The following is a 25,632-nucleotide window of genomic DNA, read 5'->3' on the forward strand; positions in this document are numbered from 1 at the left end:
TTCATCTTATCAAGTACTATCAGTGTTCCATTAAACCATATTGTTAAATAACATTATCTGTAAATATGAAAATCATGTAGTATTTACTTAGATAGGTTGGGGCTTTTGGCATACTTTTGGCAACATGCTTATTTCCAAGTATATATAGTTTGGATATATACTTACTATGTTACATTAAAAGTAAGGCTAAAGTTTGAATCTCAAGTATTTTGTATTTTATTTTAAAAAGCATAACATATACATACAAAGCAGATGAATTTCAGTTCTAGTTCTGCCCCTCTTAATGTAAACAATAAAAACTACTACCATTTATTAATATTTTCATGCTTATTACCTTATATGCACTGTTCGATTTAATCTACCTATTTTTATTGATATACAATAGTTGTACCTACTTTGGGTGGATATATGTAATATTTTGATACCTGTATACAATGAGTAATGACCAGTTCAGAATAATTGGGATATCCATCACCTTATTTACATGTTCTTTGTGTTGGGAGCAAAACAAAACTTCTCTTCTAAGTATTTAGAAATACATAATAAATTATTGTTAATCATAATTTTCCTACTGTACTATTGAATACTAGAAATTATTCCTTCTACTCTAACTGTATTTTTGTATCCCTTAACCAACTTCTCTACCCTCTACCCACTTCCCATCCCTGGCTCTGGTAGCCATTATTCTACTCTCTACCTCCATGAGATCCACTTTTTCAGCTCTCACAAATGAGTGAGAAAAAGCAATATTTGTCTTTCTGTGCCTGGCTTATTTCTCTTAACATAATGACCTTCAGTTCCATCCATGTTGCTGCAAATGGCAGCGTTTCATTTATAAGGCTGAATAATATTCCACTGTGTATAGAGACAACATTTTTGCTATCCATTCATCTACTGATGGATGCTAAGGTTGATTCCATATCTTCGTTATTGTGAATAATGCTGCAATAAACATGAGAGTTCAGATATGTCTTCCATATACTGATTTCCTTTTTTTGGATATATACCCAGGAGTAGGATATCTGGATCATATGGTAGTTCTATTTTTAGTTTATTGAGGAACCTCCATATTGTTTTCCATAATGGTGTACCAATTTACATTTTCACCCACAGTGTATGACCATTTCCTTTTTTCTCCACATCCCCACCAACACTTGTTATTTTTTGCCTTTCTGATAGCAGCCACTGTAACTAGGATGAGATGATATCTCACTGTGCTTTCAATTTGGATTTCCCTAATGATTAGTGATGTTGAGAATGTTTTTCAAATACCTGTTGGCCATTTGTATCTTCTTTTGAAAAATGTCTATTCAGATCTTTTGCCCATTTTTAATTGAATTGTGTTTTGCTATTGAGTTGTTTGAGCTCCTTATATATTCTGGGTATTAATCCTTTGTTGGATGAATATTTTGCAAATACTTTCTCATATTTTGTAAGTTGTCTCTTCACTTTGTTGATTGTTTTCTTTGCTGTGAAGAAGCTCTCTAGCTTGATGTAATCCTATGTGTCTATTTTTGATTTTGTTGCCTGGGCTTTTGAGATCTTACCCCCCCCCACAATTTTTGCCAGACCAATGTCCTGTAGTGTTTTCCCAATGTTTTTTTCCAGTCATTTCATAGTTTTATGTCTTACATTTAAGTCTTTAATCCATTTTGAGTTGATTTTTGTATATGATGAAAGATAGAGAATCTACTTTCATTCTTCTGCATATAGAAACCAGTTTTCCCAGGACCATTTATTAAAGAGACAATCGTTTCCCACATTGTAACTTCATAGTACTTTTATAAAAAATGAGTAGACTCTAAGTGTGTGGATTTAGTTCCGGGTTCTCTGTTCTATTCTATTGATCTATGTGTCTATTTTTATGCCAGTACCCAATTGTTTCGTTACTATAAATTTGTAGTATAATTTGAAATCAGATAGTGTGATTCTCTGGCTTTTTTCTTTTTGCTCAGAACTGCTTCAGCTATTGGGGATCTTCTGGGGTTCCATGTGAATTTTAGGATTGTTCTTTAGGATTTTTGTGGAGAATGTCATTGGTATTTTGATAGAGATTGCATTAAATCAGTAGATCACTTTGGGTAGTAGAGAAATTTTAACAAGATTAATTTTATCATGAAGGAATGTTAAATTTTGTTGAATACTTTTTCAGCATCTACTGAAATAATCGTATGGTGTTTATTCTTGATTCTGCTGTTGTGATACATCATGTTTATTGATATGTGTATGTTGAACCATCCCTGCATCACTGGCGTGATCCAACTTGATCATGATGCATTATCTTTTGAACGTGTTGCTGAATTTGGTTTGTAGTGTTTTGTTGAGATTTTTACATCTATGTTCATCAGCGATATTACCTTGTAGTATTCCTTTTTTTTATTGTGTTCTTGTCTAGTTTTGGTATCAGAGTAATGCCAGCCTTGTAAAATGAGTTTGGCAGTATTCCCTCCTCTTCAATGTTTTGAAATAGTTTTAGTAGAAATGGGATTAGTTCTTTAACTGTTTGGTAGAAGTCAGCAATGAATCTATCAGGTCCTGGACTTTTCTTTGATGGAAGATTTTTTATTCCTGCTTCAAACTCATGATTCATTTTTGGTCTGTTCAACTATTCTGTCTTGTCATGTTTAATCTTGATAGGTTTTATATGCCCAGGAATGTATTCTTTTCTTCTAGATTTTGCAATTTGTTGGTATATAGTTGTTCTTAGTAGTCGCTAATGATCTTTTGCATTTCTGTGGTATCAGTTGTAATGTTTCTTTTTTGTTTCCCATTTTATTTGAGTTTTCTCCTTTTTTTCCTTGGGCAAGCAAAGGTTTGTTAATTCTACTTATCTTTTCAAAAAACAACTTTTTGTTTTGTTGATTTTTTTTGTATTTTTTTGTCACAATTAAAATTTATTTCTGCTCTATAAGTTTTATGATTTTTATTGAATTTAAATATTGCAGCAGAGAGTACAACCTGATTACCACATTCATATTCTCCTTTTCTTCCTAGCACAGACTCTATTTCCTAGCCTCAATTACAATATGTCATTATTCATAGAATACAATGTTACAGTCGTAAGTATTCTTCAAACTGGTGTCTGCAAGTTGTTCCTCATTCCTTCTAGTAAGGCATTACAAGATGAAGATGAAGTCAGACAAGAACTAGTCATGTCACAAGCAAAAATATAGAGAATAGAAAGTCCAGTAATTTGGGGCTAAAAATGTTGGAAAAGCCAACTTCTTCTGAGAACCAACAGGAGAAAAATGAAAACAGGCTTTGAAGAACAAAGACCCATGAAAACTTATCAGCTTAAAAAAAAAGAAAAAAAAAAGAGAGAGAGAGACAAAGAGCAGATTAGGGGTTTTCACTGTCTCACCTGAGCCTATTATTTCAGATTACTTCAAAGCAGACACTATTGGGTAGAAAAAGAGAAGTCAAGGAGTTCTAAAGCACAGAAAGAAAGTGGACATGAGAATTAGGTCTAGGAAAGAAATTGCACTGTGTTTATTGGCACATGCAACTGAGTAGAAATGGTAAGAAGGTTACTAAAATGTGAGGGAACTATATTTACTAAGAAACCAGAAACATAATCTAAAAAAGTCTTTGAATGAAAGCCAACTTTTGGGCCTCTACATTTAAACCAATATACAGCAGTACCCAAGGAAGGCAAACTCTATAGAGTTTATAACATCCACTTCACACATGACTAGAAAGGAATAACCATCCAGAGGGGAGAGCCATGAAGAATGGACAAAAAGACCATAAACTGAAACTTCTATTTCAGTATAGTGGATCTTCTCAGTGGTCTCGTGAGCAGAGGTTTTATCATCACAATGGACCAATGACTCCTGTGGCTGTTTTCCATTCTTCCCTTTATAAATGGGAATGATTATTGCAGGTATAAAGCAGTTATCCACTGCTTAATCATTATTTCTTAGGGGTTTTGTGATGCTGGGGAGGAGTAGAAAAATGTCACAGGCAAATTGAGAGAGGACTGTGTGTTAGCTTGAGATCCTTGGCTTGGAGCTAGAAGCAATAAATGCTAGATGTTTAGGTTCTCTCTATTGGGGAGACAGAAAAAAATAATGTGCATAGTTATTTCCGTGCCAGAAAGATAAATTATTAAAAAAACTGTTGGCTACTCACTAAAATACATGTTCTCCTTTTTTTTTCCTCTGGGTACTCTTGACTAATTTCCCAGCCTCCTTTGATGTTAGTTGTGGACACATCACTTATTTTCAACCAACAGAATGTGAGTAAATTAATGTTTCCTACTTCTAGAACTGACCTATAAAAACGTTCCTTGCATACTCATTTATCTGGATGAAATGGAGATGACCTCTAGGGTAACTCTGAACATGAGTGATGAAGATGATGACAGCCTGGATCATGAATGACTGCATGGAGGACAGCTATCCAACCAACTTGTTTTTCTGTTTCATATTGCTGTGATAAGAAAAAATAAATTTGCAGCATTTGCAGTACTATACATTTTTCGCATTTATTTGTTACAATAGTTGTCATCACTGAAACTAAAACAAACAAGTATAGATGTTTCCATATAAACTGATGCAATTATCAAACTGTAATTTTTCTAAAGAGCTTTATTAAGGTTCTAAAACACTAAATGCATTTGAAATCTGTCCAGACAAAATTGTATTGTTTATCTATATATATTGTCACACAGATAGTTAACAGTGATCCCACCCAATACAGTGAAAGCCATCTCCAACTTAATAATTTTTATCCATATGTGACAAAGTTATAAGTTCAGCTAAAAACCTATTTTTCTAATCATAATAATCTTCATATTCATGGTATTATTGCAATATCTAGGAATATTCAAATTATGACAAAGTCAAATAAGTTAAATTTTCATCTCTAATAAACCATGTAGTTATTACATCTAAGAAAACATTTTAAAATTCTAGCAATAAAATCAAGACAGCACCTAATTCTATAGTCTTACTTCTTATAATTCAAAACATTAAAAATAATTCTGTCAAGACAAGCACCATAAAAATTGTCAATAGATACATTATAATTTATTCATATAGCAATCCTATTTGCATAGTATTTTGCATTTATTAATTGTAAATAGGAATCAAGTTATTTTAATCTTAATTGTGTGTGGCTAGGGAAGATACCACTCCATTTTAGGAGAGAAGTTGGATTAAATGAATAAACACTCAAGATATTATTCCCTTTTCAATTTAGTTTTGTTTTTTGCCTTTACAGACTATGCTTAATTTTTTCTTAAAGCAAATCACTGAGGCTATCTGCCAAAATGGTTACTCATTATGCTTCCCCCAATTCCTTTCTAGTCATTTAAGCCAACATCCCAGCAGAGATAACACTTCAGAAGTCAATACTTTATTCATTCACTACCTACAGAAAATAAAAAAGTAAGAGGTTTATCAAAAATATATTTTTACCAAAGTAGCTGAATTTTACTTATATGTTAATATACTTTACATTAAAAATTATGCCACGGAAAAATCTAAAGAATCTAAATTTTCAGAGGGGCCTATGCTTTATGAACAGACATTTTATAGGTATAATAATCACTGAATATAAAAGCTATAAAAGAATTTCAACCAAGATACATTAGAGAAAAACTGGTTTAAAATTTTTGTTCTAGTTATTTTTAGTGGTTTGGTATTATTTAATCAAAATTTCAAAATTTAAACTTTCTCATTGTCTTTGAAATTATTATATTCTATACAGTAAGTAAAATAACGTTTTACCAAATGATAAAACAAAAAATGCTTATAGAACACATTCTTACATAAATTACTTACATTTTATTAGCTGCAAGAAACACACAAAAAAATAGAAAGCATTTTGCCTTACTAATAAACACATTGAGGCTATTTTAAATGACCTAAAGAGATACCTATTCATCTGTATGATGCAAACTGTCAATGACTCAGACATGTAGAACCTTTAAAATGTTCTGACTTTTCTTTGTTCTTCAAAGCCTTGCAGTAATCATCATTCATTTCTATTGCTTTGATGGTTAGATAGCAAACTCCCAAGAAATCCAGGGAGACATTAGCACATACAGCCGCAATTTCTAATAAGACAGCTACTTGCATACAAGATCAGCCACAATTTAAAATGTGTTGTGATAGATGCGGAAAGGGAATAACAGACTTATATTAGCATGTACAATACCAAGATTGTTTTCACAATTTAATTCCTTGGAGATTATGTCTCATCACCTTCTTTTGTAAAGAACACTGCATTCCCTGAGGAACTAACTTGCTCTGAGACCTAGCTAAACTGAAATATGGATTAATAAGATAATATTTATTATTTATGAATTTTGCTGTAGGAATGATTTCAGATTAAATCATCACAGAAGTTTCCAACATTCTTGAAACTTGATAACACATATTTAAAGAAGAAAAATGCTGATTTTATTTAATACTTAAATTGGATATTAAAATAATTCAGTTAATTTTTATCTAATTAAACTTTACACTCATTAGGACTTTTAAGATTAAACATAGCATTCTTGTTTTTAGTATGCTTTCTTAACCTGAATTTTCCAGAGCAATTTTGCGAACTGTATTTTAAAGCATAATATGTGACCTTTAAAAACAAAAGTAGTATTATATTCAATCACCTTCCGACCAAGTTATTTTATTGCTCATTTATACCTTTTTTATGAAATCCAGAAAGAACAAGTAAAGAAATAAGAAATCTGAAGCCTTCACATATGTCTCTGCTTCCAGAAAAAGCACTAAATCCAGACTGTGACATTTAAATACATATCAAAACACAGGTTATTAAAAAAAGTTCAACCCATGTCCACAGAAAAAATAATTATCTTAGTTTTTAAGGCTAAAAGAAATACACTTACTAAGAAAACTCTTCGCTAAACGTGAAGCTATAGTTAGGCAGAAAAGGTATTTGGTTATGGCTGCATCAAAGTTGAGAACCAATCATGAAAATACAACCTCATGCTAGATGCTGAGGATATAATAAACACAGAAGATATTTGTCCCTGATCTTATCACACATTAACCATTTCCAGAGTATTACAAATTTAAAGTTGTTCATTCACTTAACATATTTAAGTCATTGAAATGATGACACATTTCCTAGATAAAGCAAAAATCCTTAATATTAAGAACTATTAATGATCTGAATTTGTCATGTGTTCCTTTCTCATGTTCCAGTGCACTAGGAAATTCAGCTTTTACTTCCTTGACTTTGACAAGCTCATTCGTGTTTCCAGGAATTTACTATGTTCTGCAATTTGCTTTAAATGTCTTTTCAATACATCCCCACTTGTGAAACCTATATATTGTAATATTGCACACAAGAGTCATCTCTGAGTAATCATTCAGATCTTGCCTAACAGGCATCATTCATGATTCAGATATTCAGAGATAGTTCTCCACACTTAAGGAAATGAAAAAAAAAGTCTTTTGAAAGACTATCAAGTGTGAAGTGGACAAGGTATACACAATTATAATATTAAAATGCAGTATTATAAGTAATATTAATTATTTCAATATTATAAGTCATATTAATTATTTCAATTAATTATATGTATTACTCATATTAATAGTATTATCATATTGTCATTGAGACAAGTTATTACACTGAGGAACAAATTCGTACTGTATAAAACTGGAGAGCTAAACAGTTGTTATTCTAAAGTTTTCAGAGATCGAAGTGCCCAGTTCACCTATACTTTGACAAACTAATGTCCTTTATAGCCTCAGAAAAAGTATCTAAAAACTGAAATATGCAAAAAGATGATTTCTAAAATCCTGATCACTTGCCAACATTGATATGAAAATTTATACAAAAAGTAAGTACAGGACACTTATCTGTGTAAACCTAAAAAGTCATGTTCCAGAAAAGAAATCTTAGTCGTTGGGACTCACCTTCCAGCCAAACTACGGAACTAAAATACAGTATTAGGAAATAGTGCTAGAACAAATATATTTCTTCATGAAAAACAAAACAAACAACCAAAAATATTTAACCCCTATCTCATATCATACACAAAAATTAATTGAAGATAGATCATACAACTGAACGAAGTAGCTAAGACAACAAAGTTACTAGGGAAAATATTATATTCATGACTTTGTAGAGGCAAATATTTATTGAAGAAAACATAGTAGGATATATCATAAAAGAGAAAAAAAGGATGAACTGGATTACATCAAAATTAATATTTGCTTATCAAGACACCAATAAGAAAATAGGTTATTACAGATAGATAGTATTCATAACATATGTATCTGACAAAATAATTTGCATCCAGAATGCATTAAAAAACTATTTAATAATGTAAGGTATACAACCTAATAATTTAAAAAGGGGTCAAAAACTTGAACAGGAACTAGAAACTTCAGCAAATAAGATATATAAATGACAAGCACATGAAAAAGTTCTTAACAACAGTAGTAATCAGCAAAGTGCAAATTAAAATTAGAACTGAGATTCTACTACATATCTACTAGAATGGCTCAAATAAAAAATATTTCATATACAAAATATTGAAGAGAATGTGGAGCAACTGAAATTTCTGGTACAACTTCTTTATAAAATTGACTGTTCCTACAAAGTTAACTACCAGCAATTTTTGCACTTCTATTCTCAGATATTTATGTAAGAGAGATAAATGTATATGGTTACAAAAATACTTTCTACAAAAATGGTCATGGCTGCTTTGTTCATAATAGTTGAAAATTGGGGGCATGGTGGCGGGTGCCTGTGGTCCCAGCTACTAGGGAGGCTGAGGCAGGAGAATGGTGTGAACCCGGGAGGCAGAGCTTGCAGTGAGCCAAGATCGCGCCACTGCACTCCAGCTGGGGAACAGAGCAAGACTACATCCCCAAAAAAAAAATTGGAAGCAGCCCCAATATTGATCAACAGAAGAGTTGATAAACTGTGGTTTATTCATACAGTGTAATACTACCAAGCCAAAAAAAAAAAATACTGAACATAGGCAATAGAGATAAATCTCAACAATGTTATGCAGAGAAAAAGAAACCATGATGTCTCTGTACTTAAATGGTCATTCATCAGTGTTATTTGTTCTTGTAGCATCACTTGACAATGGTGACCTCTACTCCCTTGAAAATACTTGAAAAAAATATTTCCTATGGGCTAAAGAATAAGTGAGAGGTAAGAAAGCAGAAATGAAAATTACAGACCAATCCATTATAAAATAAATACAAGGAAGGAGACAGATAGCATAGTAAGTAGAAAGGAACTGAGGTTGAGGAAGAGATTTTTTTTGTTATACTTTGTTTTTACTCTTTAGGGCTTGTTTCTGATTAAAGATGAAAATTTGAGTTGGTCTAAATAATAATTGGGAGGAACAACCAGAAAGTGAGAGGGTGAAAATACAGAAAAAAAAAGTATGAAAGCATAGAATCCAGTATTCATTTCAAGTAATAATCATAGCACACTACGTCCATGAGTCACTTTAACAAGAAAAAGAGAAAATAACAGGCAAAATTATACATAAGACTTGAGGTCTGGTAACCAAAAGTAGAGGGATATCTATGCAGTAGCTCTGTTTTCACTATGAAGTAAAAGGCAAGATTATCTCCTTATGAGAGAAAGGAAAGGTGGGAAGTTTGGAGGTTTGCAAGTGCAGAGCTGGAATTAATGCTGTGGAGGAATGGAAAGAGTTGTCTAAAGAAAACAGGATTAACTGGGTGCAGTCACTTGTGCCTGTAATACCAGCTACTCTGGAAGCTGAAGTGGGAAGATCTCTTGAGCCCAGGAGTTTAAGACTGCAGTGAGCTCTGATCATGCCACTGCACTCCAGCTTGGGCAACAGACTTGAGGCCTCATCTCTAAAAAGTATAAAAATAAAAAATGAAAACAGGATTTATGGGCAACACCAAGAGACCAAAAAAAATTGTAACCTATTACAAAAAAAATGAATCTATTATAGCACTGGACTATCTGATTGCAAATAATATTTTTCTTTCTGAGTGCTTAGCTACCTAGTGCTGACATAGGGAAGGGTAGTCTACTAGAGTAAGTAAAATTTAAGTTTTCCCAGATAGGCATGACAGAAAACTTTAGGATACTATAAAAAGTGGGTGACTTGATGTTCTACGGTATCTAAAGGTAGAAAAGGAAGTGAAGACAGTAGTGGTTTAGAGTTAAGCAGAAAGTGGAACAATCTTTGGACTTAATAAAGTTAAATAACCAAATTTGAAAGTAAAAAAAAAACAAATAACAAAATTTGGGAGTAAAAAAATAACCAAAAACCAAATACTAGGAGTGAAAGTTATTTTACTAGAGAAGAAAGGTTATTAAAGGTCACTAGTCAGTGTGAGTGTAAGGCGATTAATATTATTATTGAGATGGAGTAAGTTTTGGTCCAGAAGGACTGAAGTGGTAGGAAAACATTATGGCAGATATGTTAAGGAACTGAAAGACCAGGATAATGCATATGTCATACATGTGAATCATGAGGGTACCCAGGATAGTAGCAGGATTTGGGTGAGGACACAAAGAAAGACTCAGTTAGAAAGACTGAGAAGGGACCTGGATGTCCATAGATAAACAGCAAAAGAGAGAGGTAGAGGACACTACAGTCAAATGGAATGAATCACTAAGGAGCTGGGCTTCTTGTTTGATTTGTCTTGTTTGCTTTTATGTGCAGGAAATGTAAATGTTCTGGAAGTGGCAATAAAAAAATAAAATGATAAAAATCAACCTCTTGATTCACAGGTATGTGAACAATGGAAGAATAGTTTCCATTTAAGATGGCTTCAGGAAAGTGGTGCTTGTAAGAAGAATCAAGTTCCAATTAATGTCAAGAGGTAAAATTAATAAAGCGTTTGGGATTAACTGGGTTCAAGGGGGATATAAAAAGATAGAGAGGGAAGGAAATAGCAGGAGACTAGTCCATGAAAAACCAAAGATAATACAGAATAATATGGGCATAAGTGTTTAGTGGAGGACCTATAACCAAATGGGTCAGGTAGGGCAGTGAGAAAAGTTAACAGGAATGTGTAGTATCTTGAACTACCTTTATCTCAAAACTGCAATGAGTACTCAGGCCTCTCCAGGAGTCAGCTGTAGCCTTGGTAAATGGAGGAGTCCCCATCCCTCCAGGAAAGGTCAGCTGGCTAGAATTCAGCACCACAGAAGAAAGCCTCAGATCTCAAGAGTCTAGTTAGTACCACCTATTCATTGGGAGCAACTGGAGGGTCCAGATCAGTATTTGTCAAAGTATGGTCCATAATCACCATTAGAGTTGTCTGGGATACTCATGAAAATGCATATTCCTGGGCCCCATCACAGTCCTACTCAATCAGAATCTTAGGGGCTAAAGTATATGGATCTCCAGTTTTGTTTTGTTTTTAAATTTCCCATGTGATTACTGCCAACATTAAAGTTTGAGAACCATTGATTATCTTTTTAACAAGGTCACAGGCAATTCTTTTGCATATTAGCATTTGAGAAACACAGCTGGAAGTAGATGGGAGGCCTGAGCAGGGACTGTGAAGCCCTTCAGCCTCTCTGGTGGACCAGCAAGGCCTGGTTGGGGTGGCATGATCAAATTGTGGACGTTTCTAATGATCCCCTGAAACTTTAGACTTTTTCTGAATTCAGTAGGAAAACATAAAAGGATTTAGTGCAGTGAGGTAACCAAATCAGATACTTTTTAATAAGATTAGAAAGACTAGGAGGTTTGAAGTTAACTAAGTAGGCTAGAAAAATGCAGCTAAGTTCCAAAAGTAATCTACCAAGTGATAAATCAATGCAACAAGTAGAAAGGAAGTTCTATTTGGTGTTTTACTTTTTAGAATATAGGAACAGCTTGGATGGGGGCAATGAGGCAGAGGAAAAACTGAAGATGACAATGTTTTTCAATTTTAGTGATAGTTAGCTAAAATACAAAGTCCAGGCCTCACCCTTCAAAAATACCCAGTCAATAATGTTGGGGAGTGGCTAAGGAAGCAGCATTTTGAATAAGCACTTACTCCCTGCCAGTTTTCAAATTCAGGTGGCTAGTGGACCATACTTGGCAAATATTGCGTTAGACAGATGGTAATGTCATTAACAAAAACAGGTAATCTAGAAGTAGGTATGGGGTGGCTGACGAGGGTGGAGGAGCATTAGAAATCTACATTACAAAATGTTTAAAACAAGAAATAAGAAAACAAAGCACTTGTTTTTCCCAAAACCTAATAGAATTAATTAATCTAAACATAATTATGTCACAAATAACCCAGCCCCCACCAAAAAATACCCACAAATATTTTACTTACTTTTATTTTAATGCTTTTTTAATGCACAGATTGTTGTGGCATCTGGACACATGACACACTTGAAAACAACACATTAAATTTATACTGCCTGGAATAGACAAAAAGCTGCCTTGTAAGCATCATCAACAATGCTCATCATTGGGGGAGGGGTGTGCTGCATTAGCTGGGTCCCATGGAATTATATTTTTAAATTCTAAACTTTTCACAAATATAAAAGGGATAGGCATTTCAAATCTGAAAGGCCACATGAGGGAGATAACTTCTATTAAATAGCAATTTTTTCAAGTACGAAAATGATTGTTATGATTCACCAGGGTTTGACTTCAACAGTATGGGAAATGTACTTGAGTTAATCTTCTGGATTATATTTGTAAAAGAAGATAGGTTAGTTAAGCTAGGATTGGTCTATAATGTAACTCTTAGTAGTCAAACTAAAAAGTAATTAATCGCATAAATTACACTATCCTTTAAATAAAGATTTTTTTATGAAAACTGCTCTTTCTAAAAGTTTTAAAAACTTTCTAAAAGTTGTGCACATGTACCCTAGAACTTACAGTATAATAAAAAATAAAAATAAATAAATAAATAAATTTTAAAAAGATTACAATAGGCTGGGCACAGTGGCTTACACCTGTAATCCCAGCACTTTGGGAGGCCAAGGCGGGCAGATCACCAGAGGTCGGGAGTTTGATATCAGCCTGGCTAACATGGTGAAACACCCCCCCACCCACGTCTCTACTAAATATACAAAAAATTAACTGGTCTTGGTGGTGCATGCTTGTAATTCCAGTCACTCAGGAGGCTGAGGCAGGAGAATCGCTTGAACCCGGGAGGTGGAGGTTGCAGTGAGCCGGAATTGAGCCACTGAGCTCCAGCCTAGGCAACAAAGCGAGACTAGGTCTCCAAAAAAAAAAAAAAAAAAAAAAAAAGATTACAATAATATGATACCAAACAAATGAAACTGCAGACCCTGTTTTCAGGATTACAAAGTGCTAATACAAGAAGAAACACATATCCAAACATGTAAAAAGAACAAACATCTACAATTATGATGTAAAGCCAGTAAGGGAGGCAGCTTGTACCACTGCACGCTAAGAGCTTAATCAAACAAAAGGAATGAGAAGAAGCAAGGGTACCATTAGCTTCAGGGATTCTGAGGTTCACAAAGGGCAGTTTCATATCCACTTGACTATTACCCGACAAACCTTCAGACTGCTTTTCCTGATGAGACAAAGAGTAATTGAAAACGGGGTTATGATCTAAAGATCACAAACTTTGAGTTTTCAATGCTTACAATCCCTCTAAATTGGATTATTTTAAGAAAATTAAATAAAACTCAAGATTGTTTGAATTATCACAGGAATAAAAAAACTTTATTTCATCCAGCTGGTACCAAAAACTGGGCTAAAAAATGAAGGAAAACAATAAGCTCTAGAGGTAAACATCTCAGATGGTATATACTTTTATCTCTGTAATTCCTGACTAAATGGATGTAATTTCTTTTATCATAATTCCTCTATATGAATGGCCTTTTCTTGGCTCTAATGGAATATTAGTGAATTCTTATGACTCAGAATTTTCAATAAATTTTTCTGAAACAAAAATTTACTAGCAAAAAAGACACTGCCTTTATGTTTAGCCCAAATGTTAATTGCATTTGACTAAGAATTTCTGAGTAATACATCTGTGTTCAGTGTAAACAAAATGTTCTGATACACTTTAAGTCTTATCAAAATCACTACTAATAACCAAGTTTGTTTTATCCAATGTTAAAATTTTTATTTTTCTTAATTTATATGCATTTTACATTGAAACAAAACGTGAACCAAGTTGCCAAAATTTGGTAGTTTTAGGATAAAACTACTATTAATAAGTTTGGGAAGTCTACTGAAAACCTTTTCTGAGTCTCTACATGCATGTGCTCTGTCAATCTAAGAGGGGGCTTACATAAGTCACATTACCCAATATTACTTGCCCGATTTCTCAAACAATGCACATTATCATCCCAAGAAGCATCTGTTTCATGTAAAGTTTGGGAAATAGAGGCCTAGATTATTGGAAAGCTAATTAAAATGGATCATAACAGAACAAAATAAGCATTTTGGTTAACGAATAAAAGATATCAAGAACTGGCTAAGAGACATGCTTATCAATCATTTCCCCAGCTTGTGATAAAGGAATATCCTGTCATCAGAGACCTATAATAGGATGACCATATAACTTACCATCCAAGCCAGAACACTTTTGAGAGTCAAAGAGGGCCCCATTCATTACAGCAAGATAAACTTAAACCAGGACCATCCAGGACAGCCCTTGCCCCAACTATGAAGCACACAAGGACAGTTTACCATACACCATAGCTCAGTTAGTTTTATCACCCATAAGGTGTTGCGGTACCAGGAAAGAATGGCAAGTCTTCTTTTAAAATACTGCATTTCAGAAAACAGATTAATATTTTAGGCAATACCTGAAACAGATATGAGAATATCACAATAGTAGGTTATGCTGAGATAGACTGTCCTTATTTACAAAATCATCCTCTGGCACATGGCACTACTGAATACTCTGTCGTCAAACTTCAAGCCGTCAGCTTCCAAGTCAGCACTTTCCTGATTCTCCTTCTACATTTCAATTTCTTCTTTACCTCTTTCATTAGCATTCTTCCTCTAGGTGCCTATGAAACTATGGCGTTTGTGTTCCCGTGTTCCCCATAATTCATTCACTTTATATATTACGCCCTCCTTGGGTACCTCATTCCCTCAAATATATTCCAAGGTCCTATATAACTACCCCTAACTTCTTCAATCATACATCTAGCATCATTCTAACAAAGCATAATCAATGTGAATTTCTTATTTTTCCTTTAACTAGCAAGTTTCTCCTGTTTTCTACCTTTTTTGTTTGTTTTAACTAAACTGACCAATACAGTGTTCTCATTGCATGCTATCCTCTTTTGACAGTGTTAACTTGGATCACTTGATTAAGGTGGTACCTGCCTAATTTCTCCACTGAGAGAGAATTTAGTCTTTTCCCCTTTGTAATTAATAAGTATTTGGTGTGGAGGTGCTTTGAAACTATGTAAATATCCTATTCATCAAATTTACCACTACTTGGTTAGCATTTATTGATGTTTCTCGGTTGAATTAATTATATTCTGACAGGTGCCATGTGATGATTTTATAATTTCCTCATTTCTTCCATATTTATTCGTTAGTATCCTACTTTATTAAAAAGCATTTCCTTCTCTCCATTTATTTATTCATATATGCGTTTATAGCAGTATGTACTCATAGATATTTTTATTCAATTAGTTAGAATTAATGTATATCATTTTTAAAATTTTGATTCCCAAATTGTCCTGGATTTGGCCAGTGAAAGTTCCTTCAAGGTGGTTTGTGTCCTTTTGGCATATCACCTTTTTTAAGAACCTCTTTATTTTCTGACACACAGATATTTACGGTTTAGCGTGTGTTTTCCCTGCTCCTGCCCTGGGACCTGCCATTTCTCTAAGGGCCCACTTCCCCTTTAGTAGAGAATGTTTTTTAGAAAGCAAGATCTGGGGACAAGATATGCTCATTTCTAATAAACTGATACTGTTCACAGGCCTTCTAAGGAGAGAGAGCTAGGAAATATATGTATTGGTGTGAGCTCAGTACTTCCAATTTCCAATCCAACATCACACAGCTCTCATTCTACTACGCCCTTTCCACATTTATATTCATAGCTTTCCTCTCTAACATTAGGAAACCTGTCAGACATTATTATCAATGAAAGTTTTCATGTTTAATTTTTTGTATAATATTTTACAAAACAATTAATACCTAATATTTCTAAAATTTGTGAGTCACCTATGAAACAAAGGATAAGAACCGATTTGAATTAAATCTACAGAATAAATAACCTGTGCTCATATAGACCAACTTGGTGATAATGGTAATATCAAATATTAAATACCCCATAGAGGTCTATCACCTTATTTTACACCTTATAGACATATGCTCCACGCTATGGCAAGGAAAATGAGACTGTGCTTAAACCAACCACACCTACTGCTGAAGCTGGCCATGGGGTCTGTTTCTCCTAAACATATGACTGTCTGCAAAATGGGTAGATAAAAGAATAAAACCAGTGTTCTTTGAAGATAAGGCATAAAGATTCTAGATAGAAAACTAAAAGCATCAGTCCTATGTGTAGCCACATACTGTATGTTTACATGGGTATTTATACATTTAAAAATATAGCTTGTCTATATCAGATTGCTAACATTCAAGATATATATTGTGAAATCATGTTTCTGTATATTGATTCATCACTTAATCTAAGGTTTAAACACAATGATTCTCACACTTCTGACTATAAAGTACACAGATAACATATCACTCACTGAATCTCCTTGATCTATTTTAGCGGCAAGCATCACTTATGCTAATTTTTAGTCATTTCTATGTGTATTATCAATTTCAAGTAATTAGGTTTCCAAATTCAACAAAAAAATCCTTAAGTGACTAGGGAAAGTCACTCAGTTCCACACAGAGAGAGCAGGAGAGAAAGTGTGAAAGAAATAAAAACCTCTATTATTTTTGTAATGGTGGCTATTTCAATGGTGAACTGAAAAAGCAAGTTCTAGTTTGGTACATGGATAGTTTCCAAAAGACGTTCAATGATTATCCCTTGACTAAATAAAGAATAGTAGGGAAATGTACCAGACAAGAAGGCATAAAACCTTAGCCACATCTTTTCAATGAAAGACTAGATGACATTGACAAAGTCAATCAGTTTCCCTTCTTACACAATTGCTAAACTCTCTTCCAGTTTAAAAAACATAGAATACATAAGCATATGTATCAGGCTAAGGGTAATTATTTTCATGCCGAGAAACACATCCTTAAATATTAAGACAGAACTAACAATAAGTACATAACTTTTAAGCATATATATCTTAAAACTAATGGAAATTATGTGTACTGAAATAAGCTTAAGTATATAAGAGGAAACAAAGAGCTCAAGACAACAATAACAAGGCCCTTTATGGAAATTTTGCTTCCAATGTAATAGCTTCAAAATGCTGTATGACTTATTTAAAAGAGCTTTATTAGTAATTAAATGTCAAAAGTATAAAAACAACTGGTCTATATCCAATTTCATAGAAGTTGTACTAAACGCATTCATTATATCGAAGTCCCAGGTGATTATAGCATTAGCACTTTGTTAGTATTTGCAGACTGCTAGTTTTCAAACAGATTGTGGTATTATAACATGTATTTATCAGCTATGATGCAAATTATGCTTTTAAAATACCACCGAATTTTTCCACTAGAGAAATACAATAAAGATTTTTGAGCTTAAAAAATTGAGAAAACAACATGGAAAAAGGTTAATGGAAATAAGCACTAGGCTATTAGCTAATATAACTCTACTATGTAGAAACAAATAAATAAGTAAAAATAGATGGAATAGTACAATACGAAAAAGCATAAGTAGATTTCCTGTTACAATGGATTGATGGAGAAAAGAATTTCCCAAGTTAAACTGTAATACAAACAAAAAACCAGAAGTTCTACTTTGTGCCAGCTTTTTATCTTCCATCTCCTATTCCCTAATTCCCACTCTATCAAATCTGTAATGCCTTTCATAAGGTATTTCATTTAAAAAGATGTCAAAGTTCTGCTTGATAGTTAATTGTCGGCCTTTTTAAGAGTATTCAGTCTCACAAAAAATAACAAAGAAAAGCTAGCAAATGAAAATACGAAAAATATACTTTTGAATAAACTGTTCAAGATAATAAAAGATTCCAACTTGATCAATGTTGTGAACTACAAATATTAAAACACTTCAACAGCAAATGTTTAGAAATTATTGCTAAAATAAAATAATCAGGGTTTTGGTTAAAAGCGTGTTCATTCTGTGAAAATTCACCGTCTACATATTCTGTTTTGTGCACGTTCCTTTATGTACAGTATTATGCATCAACAGAAAGTTTTGAAAAATTAGTAATGTAGCTAAAGTGATAAGTAAGCACAAATTAGAAAAGACAAAAGATTGAAAAATAATGAACCAAAAAGGAAATAATAGAAAAAGAATAAAGCCCTTCAAATTACAAAAAGTCATAAACTAAAAGCAATAAATAATTAAATTTAAAAAACAGAGTCAAAAGGGATGATCAACATAGACAAAAACTGAGCCTTTGAAAAATAATAACATGGAACAAACTCTTGTCCTGACGGAATAAGAAAAAAATACACAAACAGTATTAGATATTTAAAAAAAGACTCAATATTCAGCAGAGATTAACATTATATAACAAGAAGATTCTATTAAAAATGCCATATCAATAAATTTAAAAATTAAAACACATTTCTTAAAAAACAGACTTACCAATAGCAGCTGAAGAAGGTAGAGATCAAATAGAATAAAATTCAGTGGAACTATAATTTTTTAAGTCAATCAATGTTTAAAAATCTACCCTTAAAAAATAAGACATACACACACAAAACAGGTAAGATTAAATGGTCAACAAGGAAGTTTTATTAACCATTCAAGGAACACATAATCCCTACAACAAGCTTTATCAGGTATATAAAATATTAAACTATTTTGAAGCCTAAAAATTGGCACACTTCTCAACTCATTTCATAAGGCTAATAGAATCTTGAAATGAGAACAAGGCAAGATCATTATGAGAATGAAAAATTACAAGCCAATCTTATTTATGAACAAAGATACAAAAATCCTAAACATAATATTAGACAACCAAATCCAGTATGTATAATCATAATGATAAAATATTCCATGATGAAGCTGGGCTAATCACAAAAATGAAAGGGCAATTTAACATTAGATATTATCTTAGTAGTATTCTTGTTAACTGATTAAAGGAGGAAAATACTGACAGACCTCAATCAATACAGAAAAATAAAAGTTACATTCAATACCCATTCATTATTACAGGGGGAGAGAGAAGGAAGAAAGATAGAGGATGAACAGAGGGAGGCAGGAAGGAGAAAGCAAGGAATTTAGTATATAGAAATAGAAAAGAACTTTTTACCCTGTTGATACATAGGCAAACAAACAAAGCAAAGATTATCCTAAATAGAGAAAAATTAAAAGTTCTCTTTTAAAAATCATAAGCAAGACAAAGACATTGCAGTGAGACATCCAGATAGCACAGTAAGACAAAAGGGGAAAGAGCATAGGGGATTGGAAAGGAAAAAGAAAACATTATGATTCACAAATAATATGACTCCCAGGTGGCAAAGTGGAGAGAAACTACAGACAAATATTTGAATCTGTATGAAATTATTTGTAAGAGCTCAGCCAGGTTATGATATATAAAGTTTATATATAAAATTCTAATTTAGTATAGCAACAAAATCTATAAAGCAGCTATAAATACTATGGAATACCTCTAAAAGTATATGCATGACTACTTATTGAACTGTTATAGGAGCTCAGATTATTACAATAAGTTAAGAAGAGTAATTAATAAAATATTTGAGGGAGCAATGTGGCAATACCCAGTAAAATTAAAGATTATGTACCTACAAGAACCATTAATCAACTGCTAGTTATATGAACTAGGGAAACAATTCTATATGTGCACAAAAACACTAGTAAGTACACTCACTGAAAATGTTTTTAATAACAGCAAAAAAGGAAAATAAAACTCTGTATGTCTACATAATTTATTCATAAGTGAAATATAAAGCAGTTAAAATGTGTGAACAAAGACACATGTATTTATACACTTACAAAACAACTTAAAACATGAAAAATCAATAGTCAATATTATTTAGGGAAAAATATACCTATACCAACACACACACACACATGCACCCAAATGATAAACGCCAAATTCTGTGGTTATATAGCAGGAATGAGGAAGTACAATTAAGATCGCTTGCACAGGGTTATTTATTTAATCAGATTTCTTGACAGTATATTGCTGGGTCTTGCTTGTTTTACCCAGTTGAAAACATGTGTTTTAAATGTACAATTAAGATCATTTTATTTAATGTAATTAAATATGTTTGCATTTATATCCCTCATCCTACAATTTATTTTCTATTTGTCCCATCTGCTGTTACCTCATCTTCTTTGTTTTTTTTTTTTACTTGCTTCTTTGGGATTAATTGAGCATTTTTTAGTATTTTATTCCATCTTCACTTTTATTAGTCATTCCTCTGTTTTACATTTTTAGCAGTTACTAGAATTTATAATACATATTATGTAACCTTTCATAATCTATCTTCAAATAATATTATACTACTCTACATATTATATAAGATCTTGCAAAAGTAAACTTCCAATCTCAACCCTCTATCCTTTGGGATATTATTGTCATATGTTTCACATCTATGTTTTTATCAATATAAACCATTGATAATATTTTTGCAGTAAAGAGTCAACATATCTTTTTCAAAACCTTAAAAATGATAAAAATGCCTTTTGTATTTACCTACATATTTACTATTTCCAATACTCTTTGTTCCTTGTGTGATGTTTCATTTTCCTTTTTTCTGAAGAATTCCATTAACATTACTTGCAGTGCAAGTCTTTGGGCAACAAATTCTCTCAGCTTTTGTTTAGAGACAAAAACTTTTATTTTGTCTTTAATTTTTGAAGAATATTTTTCTTCAAATAGAATTCTAGGGTTCTAGGGTCACAACTATTCTTACAGTACTTGAAAGCTAACACTCCTTTGTCTACCAACTGGGATAGTTTTGTGGAACAGTCTTCAAACTTATCTTTAGGTTTACCTTTTTATATTTTAAAATTTTTAATTGAGATATATATATATATTCGAGGTGTACAACATGATTGGATATATGTATACAATTTGTAATGATTATTACAATCAAATTAACTAACACATCCATCACCAACCATTTTAAATTTGTCTTTAGTTTATATTCCTCACCCATACTTGCTACTTTTAATGATTTTTGCATTATTGTTTTCACCAATTTAATTTTGATGTGCTTTGGTGTCTGTGTGTCTACTATTATACTGGTCAGACTTCTCTGAGCTTCTTAGATGTATCGTTTTGTAATTTTCATCAAATTTGGAAAAACTTCTGACATGATTTCTTGAAATACTTTTTATTTCTTCCCCTGCCCCTGCCACTATTCTGAGACTACATCTACACATATATGAGACCATGTATTGTCTCATAACTAACCGAGGCACTGTTGATTTTTGTTGGGAGGGGCAATTATTCACTCTGCCTTTCATTTTGGATCAATGTTACTGCAATATCTTCAAGCACACTGAACTTGTCTTCTGCAGTGTCCTATCTGCTGTTAATACCATAAAGTGAAAGTTGTGACTCAAAAATTATACTTTTCACCACTAGAAGTTCCTTTGATTCTTTCTAATATCTTCTATATTCCTCTTATGTTAAGGTTTTTCTTTAAATATTTAAAAATATAATAACTGATTACATTTTTTGCTGGTAGTTCCACCAAATCTATCATTTATAGATCTATTTCTATTGACTGTTTTTCTCTTGGTTATAAATCACACTTTCCTGCTCTGTGGCATGACTAGTAATTTTTACCAGATAATGGAACTGCAATTGTTACATTGTTTAATGTCTAAATGTTATTTTACTCTTTTAAAACAATTGGGGCTTTTTGTTGAGAGGAGAAAGAGAGTTAAAATCAGTATGGTCAGGTTTTACTTAAGTTTTTTCTAGGTTGCATCTAAGCAACCTTTAATCTAGGTATAGATCAGCCTACTTCTAAAACATTATCCCCAGTGGGGTCTCAACTAAATGCCCTGGTTGATTATGAAGACGTGCCATTCTGAGTGGTCCAAACCTTAATATCTCCCCACTCTGTGTGAGCTCACAGAATTGTTTTATTTGTGAATTTGAGAGAAGCAAAGGGGATAGAATGGCTTGACCCAGCAGGGTAAACAGCAGCTCCACACAGCCAAAATGCCTACCCAATGACTCCATAAGGCAGGAAGACTCCCAGCTTCATGGATGTCAGAGACATGAAGGGATATCAGAGAAGGAAAGAAGCCACACTGGCTTTGCCCAGGAAGGTAAGCAATGGCTCCACACAACCAAAAAGCTCACCCTACAACCTCCCCAGGCAAAGAGATGTCCTCCTCCACAGATCTCAGAGAAGCAAAGGGGCTATACCTATTTGACCTGGGAAGGCAAGCAGTGTGGCTCAACACAGCCAACAAACCCACCCTACAACCCTACTCAGGCAGGGAGATTCCCACCTCTATGCATTTGGGAGAAATGTAGGCACTAGTCCTGCTTGATCCGAGAGGTCAAACAGCCACTCAATTCAGCCTAATGCCCATCCCAGGGTACCATACCCAGAGGGAAGCAAACCCTCATCATGCATTCCTAAGGAGCATAGCCTCAGGTCCCACCTGTCCAGAGCAGCAACTCCACCTAACCTTGCAGCCTGCACCCTTGCCCAACCACAGATCCCAAATAGCAGAATTACCCAGCCAAGGAATATGTCTTATATCTGGGCTGACCAGAAGCCACTGCAGTACCCAGCCAGCAGCTCCACCTAATAGGAGAGCCCAGTCAGTGGTCTCACCAGTCAGCAGAACCCAGAGAGTAGCATTATCTGACATCACAGCGAAGGTAGTGGCCCAGCCAACTAGAGAATACATAAATTCTCTTCAGGGTCATCACCAGCTGACCCTTCATGAATCACAGGCTAGACAAAATAATGAAATTCTATCCATGTCAAAGAACTCCTGTAAATGTGAGAAGCCAGGGCTGTCTTCTCAAATGTACAGACCTATCAATAATCACCTTAAATGTAAATGGATTAAATTCTCCAATTAAAAGACTTAGAGTTGCTGAATAGATTTAATAAAAAAAAAAAAAAAAAGACCCAACTGTATATACTGTCTGCAAGAGAATCACTTCACTGTCAGGGACACAAACAAACTGATAGTGAAGTAACACAAAAAGATATTGCATGCAAATGGAAAGCAAATGAGAGTGGAGTAGCTATACTTATATCAAATAAAATAGACTTTAAATTTTAAAACCATAAAAGAGACAAAGAAGGTCATTATATAATAATAAATGGACTTGTCCAGCAAAAGGATTTAATGTTTGTAAATATATATGCACCCAACATTGGAGCACCCAAATAAATAAAGCAAATATTAGTAGATATAAAGAGAGAAATTGACTCCAACACAATAATAGCACAGGACTTCAACACACCACTTACAGTAATGGACAGATCATGCAGACAGAGAACTAATAAAGAAACATTGAATTTAGGCTGCACTCTAGGCCAAAAGAACCTAACAGATGTTTACAGAATATTACAACCAACTGCTGAAGAATATACATTCTACTCAACTGAACATGGAACATTTCCCAGGATAGATCATATGTTAGATCACAAAACTAGTCTTAATAAATTTAAGAAAACTAAAATAATATCAAGTATCTTTCTGACCACAATGGTATAAAACTAGAAATCAATAACAAGAAGAACTTTAGAAACTTTACAAATACATAGAAATTGAACAACATCCTTCTGAAAAATGAATGGGTTAATGAAGAAATTAAAAGGGAAATTTATTTATTATTTATTTATTTATTTTGAGGCAGAGTCTCATTCTGTCACCCAGGCTGAAGTCCAGTGGCGTGATCTTGGCTCACTTCAACCTCCGCCTCCTGGGTTCAAGCAATTCTCCTGCCTCAGCCTCCTAAGTAGCTGAGATGACAGGTGCCTGCCACCATACCCAGCTAATTTTTGTATTTTAGTGGAGTATTTATTTTGTATTTTAGCCTCCCTGTTGGCCAGGCTGGTCTTGAACTTCTGACCTCAGGTGATCTGCCCACCTTGGCCTCCCAAAGCTCTGGGATTACAAGCATGAGCCACTGCACCCAGCCAAAAGGGAAATTTAAAAATTTCTTAAGACAAATAAAAACACATCAAAACCTATGAGATACAGCAAAAGCAGTTCTAAGAAATAAGTTTAGAGCAATAAATGCCAGCATCAAAAAAGAAGATCTCAAATAAACAACATAACATTGCACCTCAAGGAACTAGAAAAATGAAGAAATGAAACTTATAATCAATAGAAAGAAGGAAATAAAAATCAGAGCAGAAATAAATAAAACAGAAACTAAAAAAATACAAAAAGTCAACAAATGAAGAGTTAGTTGTTTTTTGCAAAGAGAAACAAAATTAACAAACTCTTAGCCAAACTACATTTTTAAAAAAGAGAAAAGACTCAAATAAATTAATGATGGAAAAGAAGGCATTGCACTGAAATCACAAAAATGCAAAAGGTCACAAGAGATAATTATGAACAAGTGTATGACAACAAATTGGATAATGTAGAAGAAATGGATAAACTAGAAACATGCAACCTACCAAGATTGAATCATGAAGAAATAGAAAATCTGAACAGAACAATAATAACTAACCAGCTTAAATTAGTAATAGAGTCTCTCATCAGTGAAAATCCCAGGGCATGATAGCTTCCCTGTTGAATTCTACAAACATTTAATAAAGAACGAACACTAATTTTACTAAAATTATTCCAAATAATTGAAGAGGAGGGAATACTTCCAAACTCATTCTATGAGGCCGTAATTACTCTGATAATGCAATCAGACAAGGATGGAACAAAAAAAGAAAACTACTCTGATGGTTATAGATGCAAAAATCCTCAACAAAATACTAGGAAGAGCCCATATCATTAATTCTGATCAAGTGAGATTCACCCCAGGATGCAAGGATGGTTCAACGTATGCAAATCAATAAATATTATACATCACATTAACAGAATGAATGACAAAATCCACATGATCTTTTCAGCAGATGCAGAAAAAACATTTGACAAAATTCAACATCCCCTCATGATAAAAACTCTCAACAAATTAGATATAGAAGGTACGCACCTCAACACAATCAAGGCCATATGTGACAAACCCACAGCTAATATACTGAATGTGGAAAAGTTGAAAGCTTTCCTCTAAGATCTGGAGCAAGACAAGGATGCTCACTTTTACCACTTCTGTTCAACATAGTATTGGAAGTCCTAGCCAGAGAAATTGGGCAAGAGAAAGAATTAAAAGGCCTCCAAGTTGGAAAGGAAGAATTTAAATTGTGCCCGTTTGCAGATGTCATTATCTTACATGGAGAAAATACTAAAGATTCCACTAGAGCTGCAGGATTTGAATTCAACATACAAAAGTCAGTAGTATTTCTTCTTTGTTTTAGACAGAGTATAGCTCTGTTGCCCATGCTGGAGTTCAGTGGCAAAATCTTGGTTCACTACAACCTCTGCCTCAGGGGTTTGAGCAGTTCTCCTGCCTCAGCCTCTCAAGTAGCTGGGACTAAAGGTGCCTGCCACCACGCCTGGCTAA

The 25,632-nt window shown here is 33.5% G+C and overlaps 1 protein-coding gene across 14 annotated transcripts in view; it reads right to left on the reverse strand.

Moving 5' to 3' along the window:
* Positions 1-25,632, reverse strand: part of TRIQK (triple QxxK/R motif containing) — a 134,132-nt gene that overhangs the window by 33,696 nt on the left and 74,804 nt on the right. For 5 of the 14 annotated variants that reach the window (XM_047421713.1, NM_001171798.2, NM_001171796.2 and 2 more), the window contains one exon: positions 4,274-4,431. The exons of 8 other annotated variants lie outside the window; for them this stretch is intronic. The gene's annotated coding sequence lies outside the window, so the exon portion shown is untranslated. Of the gene's footprint in view, positions 1-4,273; positions 4,432-12,257; positions 12,346-13,393; positions 13,479-25,632 lie in introns of all 14 variants that reach the window. One more of the 14 variants, XM_047421711.1, reaches the window with a different exon arrangement.

The sequence above is a fragment of the Homo sapiens genome, chromosome 8, assembly GCF_000001405.40.
Source record: "Homo sapiens chromosome 8, GRCh38.p14 Primary Assembly".
Lineage (NCBI taxonomy): Eukaryota > Metazoa > Chordata > Mammalia > Primates > Hominidae > Homo > Homo sapiens.